The 19,251-nt window shown below is 36.0% G+C and overlaps 1 protein-coding gene and 1 non-coding gene across 26 annotated transcripts in view, besides 1 other annotated feature; both read right to left on the bottom strand.

Moving 5' to 3' along the window:
* DCAF6 (DDB1 and CUL4 associated factor 6) overlaps positions 1-19,251 on the bottom strand; it is a 212,261-nt gene that overhangs the window by 60,955 nt on the left and 132,055 nt on the right. For all 25 annotated transcript variants that reach the window (NR_146229.2, NR_146230.2, NR_146228.2 and 22 more), the window contains 3 exons: positions 12,307-12,400; positions 10,893-11,012; positions 10,089-10,349 (listed from right to left, as the gene is read on the bottom strand). Coding sequence is in view for 22 of the 25 variants with exons in the window: in XM_047425194.1 (XP_047281150.1) it covers positions 10,089-10,349; positions 10,893-11,012; positions 12,307-12,400 (475 nt within the window). In the remaining 3 variants the exon portion in view is untranslated. The remainder of the gene's footprint in view (positions 1-10,088; positions 10,350-10,892; positions 11,013-12,306; positions 12,401-19,251) is intronic.
* On the bottom strand, positions 16,156-16,222 carry MIR1255B2 (microRNA 1255b-2). Its single transcript, NR_031702.1, has one exon. It is a non-coding gene; the product is annotated as a microRNA 1255b-2 (primary transcript).
* Positions 18,423-18,482: an enhancer, noted in NCBI's record as "active region_2056". NCBI's record gives its function as "activates an Ori minimal core promoter by ATAC-STARR-seq in GM12878 lymphoblastoid cells {active_cell/tissue: GM12878}" and the evidence as "EXISTENCE:reporter gene assay evidence [ECO:0000049][PMID:35858748]".

Genomic DNA, 19,251 nt, shown 5'->3' with positions numbered 1-19,251 from the left:
ACTCAGGAAAGCTTCTCTCATAAGGCACCACTTGAACAAACACCTCGAGGAAATAAGCGAGTAAACCACATGGATACCTGGAGGAAGAGTGTTCCAGGTGGAGAAAAGAGCAAGTGCAAATACTCAAGGGGAAAGCATATAGGAATGTGCAATACATTTTAAAGGTAAAAGCAGTAGAATTTGCTGATAGTTTGGATGCAGAGTGATCCCAAAGTTTTTGGCCTAGGTAACGGGAAAAACAAGTAACCAATTTATTACGGCAGGGAACAATGGAGAAACAAGTAGTGTTGGGGGAAAGAATGAATAGACATCCAAGTGGAGAAATTAGGTAGGGACTGAATACAAAAGTCTACAATTCAGAGATATAAATTTGGATGTCATTTTAAGTCCCCTAAAGAGTAAGGGATGACACAGAAGAGGTCTAAGAACTGAATCTTGAGGCAGTCAAATGTTTAAGAGGAAAAAGAACCTCTAGAAAGAGTAAGAAGGAAAAGCCAGAGAGAGAGCTGGAGAACTGAATGATCAGAGCTCTGTAGGCTAAGTCGTGAAATTGTATCAAAAAGGATGGAGTAAGCAGTTGTGTGAAATGCTGCTAGTATACTAAAAGAGATACTAAGGGCTAATCACTGGATTTTGTATGATGGAAGTCATTGATGACCTCGACAAGAGCTATTTTAGTTAAATAATAAGGACCAAAATCTGATAGCAGCAGGTTTAAGAGAAAGGGGAGGTGATGAAGTAGAGACACAAAGTATATATATTCTTTGTACAACTCTTGCTATTAGTGGAGAACAGATAAATTGGATAATCATTGTCAGGGTTATAAAGAATCAAGGGAAGGCAGGAAGGGCACCGTGACTCACACCTGTAATCCCAGCACTTTGGGAGACCAAGGCGAGAGTATCACTTTGAGCTCAGGAGTTTGAAACCAGCCTGGGCAACACAGTGAGATCCTGTTTCCACAAAAAATCAAAATTAGCCAGGCATGGTGATGCACACTTGTGGCCCCTCGGGAGGCTGAGGTAGGAGGATCACTTGAGCCAGGGAGGTCAAGGCTGCAGTAAGCCACGACTGCACCATTGCACTCCAGCCCGGGCAACAGAGGAAGACCCACCAAAAAATAATAATAATAATAATCAAGAGAAGTTTGTGGTTTTAGTTTGGGAGCTAATACACACGTCTGTATTCTGATGGAGAATGTTTAACTGAAGGAGAGAGAAAGATGATGCTTAAAAAAAAGCGGAAAACCACAGGAATGATGTCCCTGAGTAAACTAAAGGAGATAAGTTCCAGTGTATCAGAGGAGGAATTGGTTTTGAATAGGTGCATAAAAACCTCATTAATTATAATCAAAGGGAGGCAGAAAATATGCACAGAGATGTCAATAGTGAGATTTGGTGGTAGGAGCATAGAGAATTTCTGACACTAGCATGAAATTATACAAACTACCAAATAAACTTTCAGCCTCTCCAGATACTAAGAGTAAAAAATTTGGTTTACTGTTTCAGAAATCAATAACGCCAGGTACTAATTTCTTGTTACGATGGTTTCTATTTATAAAGCATTTTATTCAATTACCCAATTGGTAGTTAAGATTTAATAACTCATAACATCATACTCACTCACTGTTAGTTCTTCCTAGAAAATGATCCAGTACCAATAGGGTAGTATTCATTGACAAACAAATGGTGATGCTCAGTGGCATACTGCTTTCTTTTCAGGTAGGTACAGACACCTTATTTATAGTCAGCATAATAGTAATGCTTTTAGCAATATAAAATAAAGCATTATTATACAGCCATAAAGTTTGTCACTTCACACTTCAAAAGAAATCTATGAGAGAGGCCATATATGTCAAATTTTGCTAAAAAAGCAGAAAAATACCATCAATTTCATTGGAGTGTCAACCCTCTCTATTGAGTTACCAAATGTTTTATGAAGACATAAATCTCCATCCCAGAACCCACTTGGTGAAGTGGCAAACAGCAAGATCTCAGTACATGTAGTGATGCTCTAAAACTTGAAAAAAATCAAGATTTAGTTGTGATAATCTTATGAACCATTTATTCAATATTTCCGGTGCTTTTTAAATAAGAATTTATCTGCTTTGAAAGCTGCTTGTATGGTGGCTTTTTTCTCCTTGGATTAAAAACAAAATCAGGCTCAGAAGAGAAGTCACCACATAGCTGTTAACTAGGAAAAGCAAGTATTGAATTAAAAAATTCAACCAGACATAACAGACTAAATAACAGTTCTGCTAGCAGCTTGAAATTTTAAAGCAGTCAACATACACACATATTACATCCTTTAAAAAGATATCACAAACATACATAATTTATAAATGTAGATAAATGCTTGGAGAATTAGCTTTTGTCAACATGACCCAAACTGAAAATTGAATACAATAAATACCTTGGGTTGAATTTTAAAAACAACGATGATAAAAATTCAACAAGGTATTATAAACTGCCACAGGAAAATTGTACTTTGTCATCTCCTCAAACTACAAACCCTATTCTTGTTTTCTTCTGAAAGATTACAGGTTATTCTCCTAATGACTTAATTCCAGTGAGACAGAAGAACAACAAAAACAGCTACAGTTGACGCAACAAAGGTCCACCTGGTTCTAACCTCACATCCTGCCTCTACAATACATACAGTATTTTTGTCCTGGACTCTGGATCATTTTTATATCTAATTTGGTGGCACTTTATCTGCCTGCTATAAATCTGTCTTCTAGTCCCAACTTATTTCTTGTCCTGGTAATGATCCTTGTGCATTTTTTCTCCTGGGACTGGTCACTTCTTCACTGACCTCCATGTTTCTCTGTTCTCTTCTTTGGTTTCCCCAAAAATGGCCATTGACCTAATATTTCCACTTGTTTCTTTCTTTCTTTCTTTCTTTTTTCTGAGACAGAGGCTCACTCTGTCGCCCAGGCTGGAGTGCAATGGAGTGATCTCGGCTCACTGCAACCTCTGCCTACTGGGTTCATGCAGTTCTCCTGCCTCAGCCTCCCAAGTAGCTGGGATTACAGGCACATGCCACCACGCACAACAAATTTATTTTGGTAGAAATGGAGTTTCACCATGTTGTCCAGGCTGGTCTCAAACTCCTGACCTCAGGTAATCCACCCACCTCGGCCTTCCAAAGTGCTGGGATTACAGGCATGAGCTACCACACCTGGTCTCTCCACTTGTTTCTAACCTATAAATGGCCTATATCTATCTGACTAGACTAGACTAGACCTTTATCCCATTTAAGGAAGCTATAATTTGGATTTGGGGCTTTGAAAGGTTTGCTTTGATATGGTGCACAACAGAGTTCTTCTCCAGCAATTTTTCTACAAAGCTCAATTTAGCTATAATAATTCTACATAGGCCAAAATAAATTTGTAATTCCTGTTTATGACTAAATAAGCAAGAATCCACACACAGACCACATCATATGCTATCTTTAAAAAATTCTGGGTCGGGCGCAGTGGCTCACGCCTGTAATCCCAGCATTTTGGGAGGCCAAGGCGGGTGGATCACGAGCTCAGGAGATCAAGACCATCCTGGCCAACATGGTGAAATCCCATCTCCACTAAAATACAAAAAAAATTAGCCAGACATGGTGGCATGTGCCTGTAGTCCCAGTTACTCAGGAGGCTGAGGCAGGGGAATCACTTGAACCCGGGGGCAGAGGTTGCAGTGAGCCGAGGTCGCGCCACTGCACTCCAGCCTGGTGACAGAGCAAGACTCCATCTCAAAAAAAAAAAAAAAAAAAAAAAATTCTGATGGTCTGAGTAGTCTATTTAATTAAAAACACAGGGCAGGGAAGCTTTAAGTGATTCACTTCTCAATATGAGCCCTAAAGGTGAATTTTATATATACTGATATCCCCATCCACTTCAAAGTTACCAGCTTCTCTAAATCATATTCTTTAAATAGGTTAAAATGAAACCAAAGAAAAAAATTAAATAGCACACTTGGAAAAATGCCTCATTTAATACTCTTTCATTATGAAAAGATTCTTAACATGAGAATAATTTACAAATCATGAACTAAATGAAAACATTTCTAGGCTTAACTTAAGAAATAACTGAAAGAGATGTCTGATAGGCCTTACTGAGAAGAAAATATTCATAGTTATTTTGAAATATTTTTTATAAATAAAATTATGAAGATTTCATTTTAACCTATACAGTTTTAGCTCATGGTCGTATCTTTCTCATTTTTAAACATATAATTTTATAATCACATTTTAAAAAGCAGTCTTTTGTTAAATGTTCAAGAAAAGAAGATATATAAAAATCAAAATATCTTCAAATTCTGGGCGAGGTATATAGAACGTGGTTTCAAATGGTCTGACATATGAATTAAAATAAAATTCAAGAATACAAAGGGTAAAGCAAAAAAAAAAATCCATCAACTGATTTTAAATTCCATTTCAGTCTACTTACCTTCCTAATTTAGCTACAAAACTCCAAAGCCAACACTGTGACCCCTCTAGATTTACCATTCTTCAGGGCATTCATTTTGCGTATTCAACTCACTCACTGCTTCAATTAATTATTTTCATACCCATATTCACCCATATATACATGAGTGAAAAAGCACAAACAAATATATATATATATAATGAGACAATTTTTTAAAGTATTTCTGTAAGTTACCTTAAAATGTCTTCAGAACAACCTAAGAACAATTATCTACTCAGTCCTATGTGGTCTAGACAGTCAAAGGCAAACAATGGATCCAAAATGATAAATGGTTAGACAGCTAATCACAGCATCTCTCTTCTAGGTGTTACCAAATTTTGGAAACTTAATGGAAACAGCCAGAGTAAATGACTGGGGCTAAAAGTATAATCTAAAGACTAAAATAAAGCTAAATATACCCTATCTAGTCTATATCAGCTTAAAGATAACAAAATGTCTCATCACACTTTTAATCGTATCTTTAGAGGGTGAATATTGTTGGGGAAAAAAGATGCTTACTCAGAGACAACAAGATAGACAATATCCTGTCTTCAAGAGAGCTTATCATAGTAAAAGAAAATTATAAATTTTTATAATTGCTTTTCACAAAATAAACAGGGTTATATAGAAGAGAATAAAATTTCAGCAAGAAGAAAAAGGAAAGAGGACTTTACCTAGGGTAGTTATGAAAGACTTGTCTTATATGGCATTTGAGCTGAGACTCAAGGAAAAGGAAGTTGGCCAAGTGATAAGCCAGGACAAGGGCTTCCCAAGCATACAGAGAATAACACTAAGAACAAAGTGTAAGAAGGAAAGAGGGAAAGAAAAGAAAAGACAGGAAAGAGAGAAAGATGGGAAAGGAGAAAAAGGAGAAAGAGGAGAAGGAAAGAAGGGATGGAGGAAAGAAGGAAGGAAGGAAGGGAGGGAAGAAGTGAAGGAAGGGAGGGAGGGAGGAAGGAAGAGAGAGAGACAGAAAGAAAGAAAGAGAGAGAGACAGAAAGAAACAAAAGAGAGAGAGAGAAAGAAAGAAAGAAAGGAAGGAAGGAAGGAAGGAAGGAAGGAAGGAAGGAAGGAAGGGAGGAAGGAAGGAAAGAAGAAGAGAAGAGAAGAGAAAGAAAAGAAAATGGCAGGGCACAGTGGCTCACGCCTGTAATCCCAGCACTTTGGGAGGCCGAGGAGGGCGGATCACAAGGTCAGGAGATTGAGACCATCGTGGCCAACACGGTGAAACCCTGTCTCTACTAAAAGTATAAAAAATTAGCCGGGCATGGTGGCAGGCGCCTGTAGTCCCAGCTACTTGGGAGGCTGAGGCAGGAGAATGGCGTGAACCCAGGAGGCAGAGCTTGCAGTGAGCCGAGATCACGCCACTGCACTCCAGCCTGGGCAACAGTGCAAGACTCTGTCTAAAAAGAAGAAAAAGAAAGAAAGGAAGGAAGGAGAAAAGAAAAGAAGGAAGAAAAGAAAGAAAAGAGAGAGAGAAAGAGAGAGAGAGAAAGCAAGCAAGTGGGAGGAAGGGAGGGAGGGAGGGGGGAGGGGAGGGGGTGGGGGCAGGGTGGAGGCGGGGTGGGGCGGGGGAGGGCAGGGCAGGGCAGGGCAGAATTTGGCACGGAAATTCTCTGATAACCGAAAGAAATCAGTAGTACATCTAGAGTGTAACAATCATCAAGTACTGAGAAAATTGAATGAGATGAGGCTAGAGAGACAGGGAAGGGCAGGCCATATAAATTCTTATACGTCCACAGTGAGGAGTTTGATTTTTTTTTCTTTTGTAGTTGTATTTCCAAATGCAATTAGGAACTTCTGAAGGGATTTAAACAGCAAAGTTATATAATCTGATTTAACATGTTAAAATACTCATTCTGGCTCCTGCATGGAGAATACATTATAATGGAACAACAGTAGGTACAGGCAGATTAATTAGGAGACAAGAAATGATGGTGAGATGAAAAGACCCAGGTTATAGTTTAGATACAGGAACAAAAGAACTTGCTGATGAGCTGGCATGGGACTTGAGGAAAAGGAAGGAATCAAGAAAAACTCACAGGTTATTCAAATAAGCAAATGGACCAAGAAGGAGCCAATTACGGAACAGGAAGGGTAGGAGGCTGCATTAAGTTTTAGTTTGAACATGTAGATTTATGACGTACAACAATAGGCCGGGTGCAGTGGCTCATGCCTGTAATCCCAGCATTTTGGGAGGCCGAGGCGGATGGACTGCTTGAGGTTAGGAGTTCAAGACCAGCCTGACCAACATGGGGAACCCCATCTCTACTAAAAATACAAAAATTTGCTGGGTGTGGTGGCAGGAACCTGTAATCCCAGCTACTTGGGAGGCTGAGGCAGGAGAATTGCTTGAACCCAGGAGGGGGAGGCTGCAGTGACCTGAGATTGTGCACTGCACTCCAGCCTGGGTGACAGAGTGAGACTGTCTTTAAAAAAAAAAAAAAAAAAAAAAAAAAAGATGTACAACAATAACAAAAACATACTGTCAAAATAGCAGTCAGACATCAGGCATAAGGGTCTGGAATTCAGGGTAGAAGATCAGATTGCTGATATATATATTTGTGAGTCATGAATTTACAGGAGATATTAAAAGCTATGAGGAACTGACACAATCACCCAGAGAAAGAGTGTATGTAAAGAGAAGAGAAGAGAGCCCAAACTAAGGGGTTTGATTATAATATTCAGAAGGAGATAGAACAAGAAACACGAACAACAGTTACTGAAAACCCACCAGAATTAATAAGAGTAAATAGGCAAATATGATATCATAGATACCAAGAAAGGAAAGTGTTTCAAGAAGGAGTGACAGCCTATGTTAAATGCAACCGGGTCGAAAAATCTAGTAAGGTACTAACAGAGAAATATCCTTTAAACTGGTGAATGTCACTAGTGACTTTGATTAAAAGTTTCAGAGGAAAAGGGGGTTGAAAAGCAGATGGGGGTTGGTTAATAAATAAATGAAGGATGGCAAGAAAATGGAGAGAGCATCTATCAACAACTCTTCTGAGGATTCTCATTACGAAAGCAGCAGAGAAATAAGGCAATAGCTGAAGGGGAATGTGAGATAATTAAGAGAAAATTTTTAAAGAAAGGAGATAATAAGAGCATGTTAAGGCCAAAAGAAACAATTTGGCAAAAAAAGGCAATGATAATGCAAGAGAAGGGGCGAAATCTTTGAGAAGCTGGAAAGGGATAGCAACTACATTGACTAGCTTTTGATAGGAGCTTTCTGCTTCTATCACAATGTGAGTACAGATGTTGGAAAGCTGGGAAATTATTGACAGTAGGAAAACGAGTACTTTTCATTGTGAATGAAAGGTTAGAATCTGGAAGTGGGGCGGGGATGAAGGGAAGTATTAAAGTTTGAGAGACATGAAAGTGTAAAATAGTCATTTTGTACAGCTGGAGAGCAACAGTGTGAGGCTGCTCTGATGCACAGTGTTGAGCACCCATTGAAATTTGTGGTCATAACTTTCTTCATTATCATTCAGTGATTCCACTGTAGACTAAGAGAAGGCAGACAATTAGGTTCAACCAGAGATGGAGCGTAGCAAATTTTCATATTCCCATTGTCCGTTTCTTTGATATCAGTAAAAATGAGGGAGGACATGTAAAGGGATAAACATTTACATAAAAAGGTATCCACAGCAAGGCAAGCATAGACAGAAGTATACTTTATCATTTTCTCTATCTCTATGCAGGGAAATAATAGAAATCATGGTCCTAAGCTGACATTTCCATCTACTACATTCACCCAATGGACAATTCCCAATATTCACAAACACATTTGGACTTAGGCTATGGCAAATGCAAAAGAGATTGGACAAAAAACAAAAACAGAAACAAATTAAGTCCTTACTCCTGAAACGTTGAACTCCAGAATAATGAAAAAGCTGTTATCAGAACAACTACAGTCATAACCTTCAGATGTTACATCTAACACCAAATCATTTTTCTCAATAGTGATAATGTCTTGATAACATGGAAATATTCTAATTATCTATAGCTTAGTCAACCAAAATTCTCTCAATAATCTCCCAGTTAAAAATATTTCCTTACTTCCTATAAATAATTTATGAGTAAAAGTACTGCATAATGTTTCAATAATCATCACATGACCACCAAAGATATTTTTTCTTCTTCAATAATTCAAATGATTGTCACATTTAATACTTACATTAAATATTGAAAGGAATTTAGCAATTTGAAATGCAGTAATTAAAATGCATTAGATAGCTTTAAAAAATAAAGTTCCAAATACTTTACTCATAAATATATTTAAGAAACAACTAGAATTAGTTGAGATTCAGTGGAAGCTGAATGTAAGCTAGAGTCTTCTTGCTAAGTTTTCCTAAAAACTTATAATTGATCAATATGTTCAAGAATATCACTTTAAAAATTCTTGCTTTTCCCAATTTTACCTGCTTTGAAAAACAAACTTTTAACTACTTCTGCTTTTAATTCCCAAATCTTCCAAAATATTTTATTTTTCCATAAATTAAAATGCTATGTCAACTGAGTGTGAAAACCTTGATTCTGTAGCTCAGCTTTAGCTTATTATTATGGATAAAATGTATACAGTGTTAACAGTTATGTAACTGACTCTGGCTTTTATTCCCATAGAAACTGAAAATGAATTACTAAAAGTGGTATATACTGATAAAAGAGTGCTTAAATTAAAACATCCCATATTTGGTAATCTGGCATCAGTTTCCAGAGATGTAAGAATAAAGTGACAGCTTGGCAGCTAAGCTGTTAGAAATTTTTTTATAGGTTTCAGCTTAGGCCTGCCAGCTATATTTCTAGTTGCTAATAATTCTGGCTCTATATTGAGTAAAATTCTTCCTTAGAAGAACCAAAGAAAACTATGAATAAATATCTTATTGGTTTTTATAATTACATGTATATAGTTTAAAGTACCGAGTAAACTGTAGATACATCTGCTGAAAATTACTATTATAAATACTAGCACATTCCATAGTTAGGGGAAAAAAGTTGACCATAAAGACTTATAATACTGAGAAAAAAATAGCATTTTAACAGAACGTAGAGGTTATTTTCACTAGCATCAAGTATCAAGAAGATAAGCATTTGGTAAAATAATTCTTTTTCATGTAAATACTAGAGAAACAAATTTTTTGGTAAATTATATGTTGTTGACAAAAGACCATATCAAATCCACCATAGAGAGTATATTAAAAGTACTGCATTATTTGAGGGAAATAATCAAGAATATAAGCAAAGTGAAACTAATACTGATATTTTCATAATCACTTTAATATAGACATAAAACCAAATAAATCTAGAAAGATATTTTGGTCTCTAATAATCTATAAAATAATATTTAAGTCAGGCACATTAAACTATGTCAAAACACTATCTTTTGGTACTTGTACTTTTAAAACAATTGTTTTATATAAATTGAAGATTCCTGCTATTTGTTAAAATTCATGCAAGTAAGACATAATTAATTTTTGTGTTTAAGTTACATAACCATATATTACATGTCATTTTGATCATTTATTCCAACAAGAAGTTGATGTGATTTAGTATCTTTCAAAATAGCCAGTAAAGAAATTTTCACTATCAAAAATCATTAGATGAACCACAGCATACTTATCCTCACCAGACTGATGATGTGTGTGGTGTCCAGATGCCTCAACAGACTGCCTTTGTTCACTGTCTGGAGAAGATAGCAAAGGAGTAGAATGAGGGCTTTCTGTGGGAGATGATGTCGAATGAGCCTGAGCTGACATTGTAGAGGATGTAGAAGGCTGAAGAAATTGTTCAGCTGGAGTATCTACTTCCATTGCAGTTTCACTCACTTCCAAATCAGGACTTGATGGGACCGTAGGAAGAGTTGAAATATCTGATTGACTTGTTCCACCTTCAAAACACATGTTAAGGCAAATTCAAATTTTAAATATTTTCTAAAACCAACAACTCTAAACAGATATGCTCAGAAAACACATTTATATTTACACACACAAATATATAATTTCAGTGATAATAACTACTGGTGATTTGGCCCATTTGACAAAATAGGCCAGTCAAGAGGGATAAAAACTTATCTACAACATATTCTTGTTAAAGCAATCAATCTTTCCTATTACATAAAACTTGTTTATACACAGAATTTTATATATTTCCATTCTCAGAGTGCATTAAAAAAAGGCTTAAAATAGGAAACCTCAGATTCTTCTACTTTACTTTGAGAAAAGCAAAAGATACGCACTAGGTCCAATGGCACCAGAAGGGACAAATTATATCCAATATCTTTTATTCTCTACTACTTCACACCACACAATAAGAACCTTGTGATTATTACAGATGTAAAACATGGTATAATTTACATGATAGAAATAAAAACTGGCTTCAATAAGTAGTTTTTGCCAGCTTTCTGATGACTTTAATTAACATTAAAAATTACCTCTGGGTCGAGATCTTCCTCGTCCTCTATTGCTTTGTGCAACCTCACTTGCTTCTTCAAACCATCTTGATAACATATCAGACATTCTCTGCATCAATGACACATTGGGACTCTGCTCTCCTATTACAATATAGGTCTTATCAGTGAGTTTAGTAATAAGTCAGAATCTTTCATTAATACAAAAACCTAGATTTGAAGGGCTTTAAAATGAAAGCATATTTTTAAAAATCAAATTTCCTAAATAAATTGTATGAATGTATATAAATCTATTAGAGCTCTCATCACATTTTATAGTAATTGTTTATATCAGTGACTTTCCATGTGTATGGTAAGGTTTCTTGAGAACAGGGCTCACCTCTCCTTCATCTTTGCCTATTCTTAGGTACCACTAAACCTCCCACTTCCTACCTCAACCTAAATTTTTAGTTCTAAGAGTACCCAGCCAAGAAAGGCTCATGAATTCTAAGTTTAATAGATTAAAAGAAAGGTTTTCCCTCTCCCTAAAGCATTATAATCAAGTACAGACACAAAATAGCCTTATGCTTTTGCATGAAGTTTCCTTAAAGTCAATTTATTTTCAACATCATTTACTGTAAGCAAATTTCAGATATTTGAAATTAACTGGAACCAGAAAGTATTTTGTCTCTTCCCTCACTCCTTTTCCTCCTGCAAGTAAACAAGTTTTTCCAAGGGTATTTTCAAATTAAAAGTGTAATGTCAAATTCAAAATGTGACAACTCTATTCTATAGTCTTATAATTTAAAATGAAAATCGGTTCTTCTTACATTTTCTGTGAAATCAGAGTTTCTTTTACACTTTATTGCCTTTATATAATGTAGCTCATATATTGGGGAATATGCTTTTGATCACAAGAGATGTTTCAGAAGTCATTATAGTAAGATTTTGGTTACAGACCAATTTAATAAAACATAATAATATAGAATTATAATTCATAGATTAATTCTATTTTCAAGTGTGCTATCTTAAAGCTCCCAGGGTTGATTCTTATGCTTATCAAAGGCACTTGATAGAAAACATTTTATGTGCTAATATAAAACCCTTGGGCTGAGTTTTCATTTCTCTTAATATCTAATAGAAAGGCAAAAACTGCAAAGTCTGACAATACCCAACGTACTATGGGGTAATGGGCATTCTTATACTTTCAGTGGGAATGTAAATTAGCACATCTTTTTTGGAGACTAATCTGATAACAACTACCAAAATTAAAAGGTACTTATCCAGTGACTGCGCCATTCCACTTCTAAGAATTTATCCTAAGATATATTTGCATAAGTATACCTATATGTATAAGAATGTTCATTACAGAATAATTTATAATAGTGAAGAAACTGGAAGTTAAAATATTAATTTTAAAATACCATATACAAAGAAAAGCTGACCAAAGTATAGTTACCATCTCGTTCTCGTTCACTCTCCGGCCTTGCTCTGGGTCCAGTATCTGACCAATCACCACGAAGTCTCAAACGCTTAACTGGTGGTTGTCGCAACTAAAAAATAAGAACGGGTAAATTCTATGTAAGTCTAAAACTCATCTACTCTCAACTCTTAAAGCATACTTTATGTCTATTTATTTCCATCTCCCTACTTCTTGAGTATGCAAATTAGATCTACATGAAAATATGAAAGACACTGGTATAAGCGTCAGTCTTTTAAAGCATTCATTCTGAGGATAAATATCCACTGATGTTGACAGCCTATATCTAATATCTTCAACCTAAAGAGCCTGAATGCAACTTTGAAATCATGTATATGTGATTTCTAATCCCACCTGTATCACCTTCCAGCTGACAAAAGGAAGATATTTTTAACCATCTTGAGCCTTAGTTTTCTATTGTGATGATAAATATAGTCTAGTTAAATTACCCACATACCTAATTAACAATGGGAACCATCATTATTTTTATTTATTATTGACAATTTACTCATTATTGACAATTTACTCTTCGGTTCCCAAACAGAATCTATTGCGACCCTTTATGACTTGCCTCAGGCTATCTATTCCATCCTGCTGCCCTCATTCTTGCCCTCTTAACAATTTTTCCTCCTACTTCAGAGAAAATAAAAATAACATCATTTTCTTCAGCTGAATTCTATAAATTAAATCTACATCTACAACTTTCTAACTCCTTCCAGCCTTTCTTGAAGGGTGTATCATTTATTCTATTTAAGCCTAATTTCTCCATCTGTGCTTTTTATTTCATTCCTTCAACTCCTTGAGTATCTTGCTTGACCAATTATTCTCTCTTCTCTATACCTACATCCATTTTCTCTCTCTTGGCTCTTTGCCACAGCATGCTAAAGGTTCTTATCATTTTTAAGAAAAAAAACAATATTTCAACTTCATAAAATCTCAGTTTTACAGCTACAGTCCTTTCTCTTGCTATCACTTTACTTAAGCTTCTTGAGAAAATTCTATATTCAATCTACCACTCCTCCTTCAATCCACTGTAGTCAATCTTTCCATTGATTTCCTATCTTTCCACTAACTTCATTCTCACCAGTCACCAGTGAATGATCAATTGCCAAGTTCACTGATCAATTATAAAGTGTTCAATAATATGATCAATAATCAATTGCCAACTCAAACAGCATCTTTCAGAGCTTATTTGACATGTTTATGGCACCTATCACTCTTGACCGCTCCCTTTAATGTTTACATTTTTAACTTTTTTTTTTCCAGGCAGGGTCTCACACTCTTCTCCAGACTGGATTGCAGTGGTCCCATCCTAGCTCACTGTAAGCTCCAACTCCAGAGCTAATAAGATCTCCAGCCACAGCTTCCTGAGTAGTTGGTGCATGTGCCACCACAACCAGCTGTTTTAAAAATTTTTTTAGAGATGGAGTCTAGCTATGTTGCCCAGGTTGGTCTTGAACTCCTGGCCTCAAGCAATCCTCCCACTTCTGCCTCCCAAAGTGTTGGGATTACAGGCATGAGCCACCACATCTGATCCATTTTAAACATTTTTGTATTGAAATATAATTCACATACCATAATATTCATAATTTTAAATTATACAATTCAGTGGTGTATATTCATAAAGAGGTACAACCGTCATCATTATATAATTCCAGACCGTTTTCATCATCCCAGAAACAAACCATCATCAGCCACTCCCCACTCATCCCTCTGCTCAGCTCCTGGCAACCACTAATCTACTTCCTGTCTCTGTGGATATGCCTTTTCTAAACATTTCATATAAATAATCATACAATACATGGCCTTTCGTGTTTGGTTTCTTTCACTTAGTATTATGTTTTCAAGGTTTATTCATATTGTAGCAGGTATCAGTACTTCATTTTTCATAATACCCCATTTTAGCAAGATACCCTATTCTGTTCATCCATTCGTCAATTGGTTGACGAACAAACTTATTCCACTTGTTGGCTATTATGAATAATGCTGAATTAAGCATATGTACAAGTTTCTGTAGGAACATGTTTCAATTCTCTTGGGTATACAGGAGAACTACCCAAAAGAATTGAAACATAGTACCTCATTTTATTGCACTTTGCTTCACTGAATTTCACAGATACTGTGGTTTTTTACAAATTTAGTGGCAACCCTGCATTGAATAAGACTATTGGTGCTATTTTTTCCAATAGCATGTGCTCATTTTATGTTTGTGTCACATTTCAGTAATTCTCATATTTCAAACTTATTCATTATTATCCTACCTATTATGGTGATCTGTGATCAGAGACCTTTGATCTTACTATTGTAATTGCTTTGGGGAGCCACAAACCGCATCCATATAAGACTCTGAATTTAATTGACAAATGTTATGTGTATTCTGACTGCTTCACTGACCAGCTGTTTCCCCATCTCTCTCCCTCTCGAGCCTTCCAATTTCTTGAGACACAACAATAATATTGAAATTAGGCCAGTTAATAACCCTACAATGGTCTCTAAGTGTTCAAGTGAAGGGAAGAGTCATATGCCTTTCACTTTAAATCAAAAGCTAGAAACGATTAAGCTAAGTGAGGAAAGCATGTTGAAAGCCAAGACAGGCCAAAAGCTAGGCCTCTTGCACCAAACAGTTAGCAAATTTGTAAATGCAAAGGAAAAGTTCTGGAAGGAACTTTTAGAAAAGTGCTACTCCAGTGGACATATGAATGATAAGAAAACGAAACAGCCTTATTACTGATATGGAAACAGTCTGAGTGGTCTAGAAGGAAGATCAAACCAGTCATCACATTCCCTTAAGCTAAAGCCTAACCCAGAGCAAGGCGCTAAATCTCTTTAAAGCTATGAAAACTGTTAGAGGTAAGGGAGCTGTAGAATAAAAGTCTGAAGCTAACAGAGGTTGGTTCATGCAGTTTAAGGAAAGAAGCTGTCTTTCTGTAACATAAAAGTACAAGGTAAAGCAGCAAGTCCTGATGTGGAAGCTGCAGCAAGTTATCCAGAAGATCTAGCTAAGATAATTGATCAAAGTGGCTACCCTAAACGACAGATTTCCAATGCAAATGAAACAGCCTTCTATCAGAAGCAGATGCCATTTAGGACTTTCACAGCTAGAGAGGAGAAGCTGATGCCTGCCTTCAAAGCTTCGAAGGACATGCTGGTTCTCTTGTTAGGGGCTTATGCAGTGGTGACATTAAGCAGAAGCCAATGCTCATTTACCATTCTGAAAATCCTAAGGCCCTTAAGAATTATGTTTAATTGAATCTGCTCTATAAATGGAATAACAAAGCCTGGATGAGGGCACATCTCTTTACAGCATGTTTTACTGACTATTTGAAGCCCACTATTGAGACCTACTGCTCAGAAAAAAAGATTCCTTTCAAAATACTACTGGGCATTGACAATGCACCTGGTCATCCAAGGGCTCTGATGGAGATGTACATGGAGATTAACATTTTCATTGTATCCCATAGATCAAAGAGTAATTTCAACCTTCAGGTCTTATTTAAGAAACACATTTTGTAAGGCTATAGCTGCCACAGATAGTGATTCCTCTCATGGATCTGTGAAAAGTCAACTGAAAACCTAGAAAGGATTGACCATTCTAGATGCCTTATTAAGAACTTTTGTGATTCGTGGGAGGTCAAAATAACAATATTAACAGGAGTTTGGAAGAAGTTAATTCCAACCCTAGTGGATCACTTTGAGGGGTAGAAGACTTCAGTAGAGGAAGTCACTGCAGATGAGGTGAAAACAACAAAAGAACTAGAATTAGAAGTACAGACTGAAGGTGTGAGAATTGTTGCAATCTCATGATAAAACTAACAGATAAGGAGTTGCTCCTTATGGATGAGCAAAGAAAGTGGTTTCTTGAGGCGCAAACCACTTTCTTTGCTCATCCGTAAGAAGCAACTCCTAGTGAAGATGCTGTGAACACTGCTGAAATGACAACAAAAGGATCTATTATAGAGTACTACATAAACTTAGTTGATAAAGCAGCAGCAGGGTTTGAAAGGACTGACTCCAATTTGGAGAAAAGTTCTATTGTGTGTAAGAAGCTATCAAACACCGTTACAAGCTACAAATACATCTTTTATGAAAGGAAGAGTCTATCGATGCAGAAACTTCACTGATGTCTTATTTCAAGAAACTGTCACAGCCCCAACCTTCAGCAACCACCACTCTGATCAGTCAGCAGTGATCAACATTAAGGTAAGCCCCTCCACCAGCAAAAAGAATACAACTTACTGAGGTTCAGATGATTGTTAGCACTTTTTAGCAATGAAGTATTTTTAAATTAAGGTATATACATTGGTTTTTAAGATATAATGCTATTGCACACTTAACAGACTATGGTACAGTATAAACATAACTTTTACATGCACTGGGAAACCAAAAGATCTGTGTGACTTGCTTTAATGCAATATTTACTTTATTGCAATGGTCTAGAACCAAACCTGCAATATCTCCAAGAGAAGCCTGTATATCTGGGAGGAGAAGTATGGCTCATATAATAACTCTAATTTTTTGAGGGTTCCAATTTCTCTACATGTTTGTCAAAACTTGTTATTGTCTGTCTTTTTTATTTTAGTCATCCTAGTGGGTATGAAGTGATATCTCACTGTGGTTGTGATCTGCATTTCCCTGAGGACTAATAACGTTGAGTATCTCCTTATGTACTTATTGCCATTTCTATTATATGTCTTCTCTGGGGAAAAAAAAGTATTATATATTCAAATCCTTTACCTATTTTTAAGTTTGGATATTTGTCTTTTTATTGTTGCACTGTAAGTGTTCCTTATACATTCTGGATACTAAACTGTAACCAGACACATGATCTGCAAAACATTTTCTCCCATCCTGTGGGTCACTCTTTTTATTTTTATTTATTTTTTAAAAACAGCATTCATTGATTTTTTTTTCCTGAAAATTAAACAGGTTTTGATAAAAACTTGGTGACACTTAACAGTGAATTTTCTGATTTCTTCTGGAAACCATACCTAGTAACATGAATAGAAAAAAATCTTTGCATCCTGAGCAAAGGAGACAGAAAAAAAAATCCCCATAAATTCCATATTATGTGTAAGTATGGCTAAAGGCAACTGAGAATAGTAAAATCTACACAGGAAGACGTAAGTGTGTGACAGGGAATAACCAGAACAAAGCTTAATGTGGCAGCTGTGCAAATTCTCAAACAACTAATCACTCCCAAAAGGAGAGGGCTTCATCCTTCATACGAACTATTCTTAAAACAATATAATAGAATCTTGCTTCATGGTTTCAACAGAGAGGAATTTTTATATTACATAGCCAAAGAACTGGTTTTACAACCTCAGCAATTATTTATAGAATAAAATCTTCAAATTAAAAACAATCTCAAATTTGACTTTCTGAGTATGTGAAATAACCTAGGCAAGAATACTGAAAATGGCGTTTCATTCACCAAATATTTTTTGAGCACCTTTTATATGTCAGGTACTATTACAGGTATTGGAAAACAACAATGGACAAAACACACAAAAAATCCCCAATGTCACAGAATTTACAGCCCGATGGAGCAAACAACACATGAAATGAAAAAGCAAAATATACATAGAAAGTTACTGTTATGGAGAGAAATAAAGTAGAAAAGGGGATAGGTAGTATCAGTTAAAGGCCGTGATTTTAAATAGGATGGTGAAGTAGGGCTTCACCAAGAAGGTTACATAAGCAAAGACCTGAAATACACAGGGAAGAAAAAATCCAGGTATCCAGGGAAGAGCATTTCAGGCAGAGTAAATGCAAAATCCTAAAATAGAGTCATGCTTGGCCTGAGTTACTAAGCAAGTAGATGTGGTTAGAGCACAGTAAAGAAGAAAACAGTAGAAGTAATAATTAGGACCAGATAATATAAGATCTTGAAGCCACCATAAGGACTTCAGTTTTGCTTTAGGTCCGACAGGGAGCCACTTAGAATGTTGATGAGAAGAGCGGCATGATTTAACTTATGTTTCTAAGGATCACTTTGAATGCTGTATAGCTATAGGGCTGTAGGAAGTGAAAGCAGGAAGACTGGTTAGAAAGCTAGCAAAATCAACTACAAAGGGGGATAGGTCATGCCAGAGATGCTGATAGCTCGGATCAGGGTGGTAATGCAGCAAGGGTGGTGGTAAGCAGTAGTCAGATCTGGAGTATATTTTTAGGCACAAGCTATGGGGACCAGAAGAAAATGAAAGAATGAATTCAACAAAGAAGCCCAATAATGGGGTAGGGCAGGTGGTAAACTGTCAAAAAGAAGAAAAGAGAGATGATAAAAAGAAAAAAGGATAGAAAAATAAGGGAAAACAGAAAGTACAAAAAAAATTAAGACAAAAGAATGAACCAAAGAAAGAAGGGGGAAAAAAATGAAAGAAATTATTAGAGGCGGTAAGGAAATAGAAAGGCCTCCACAAATTGAGAAAATACAAAAATATTATGGAAACATAAGACAAAATCATACAACAAACTTTTACTCATGCTTTAAAACCTTCCTCAGGCTTTACTCAAGATTAATTATTCCCTACTTTGTTCTACTTATACAGAACATAGTCCTTATACATAATTCTATATTAAGTTTTACATATTTATTTACTTGTACCTCTACTTCCACTAAGCTGTGAATTCCTTAAGTAAGAGATCATGTCTTTGTCTGGTCATCCTTCATTTTCCAAAGTTAAGTAGAGGACTTGGTGTATAGTAGGCACCCAATAAATATTTGGTGAGTTAAGTTTGTCTGAATACTATCATCAAAGTTTCAGTATAAAACACCAAAATGTGTCAGAATTACAAATAAGACAGATTATTAATTTATTCTATGTATACCTCTGAATTGTTTGGTTTGTTATAATAAGCTTTTTTTTTTTTTTTCTGAGACTGAGTTTTGCTCTTGTCACCCAGGCTGGAGTGCAATGGCGTGAT

Source organism: Homo sapiens, chromosome 1 (assembly GCF_000001405.40).
Source record: "Homo sapiens chromosome 1, GRCh38.p14 Primary Assembly".
Classification (NCBI taxonomy): Eukaryota; Metazoa; Chordata; class Mammalia; order Primates; family Hominidae; genus Homo; species Homo sapiens.
The sequence above is the reverse complement of the archived record's forward strand: the minus strand, read 5'-3'. Positions and strand labels throughout refer to the sequence as shown.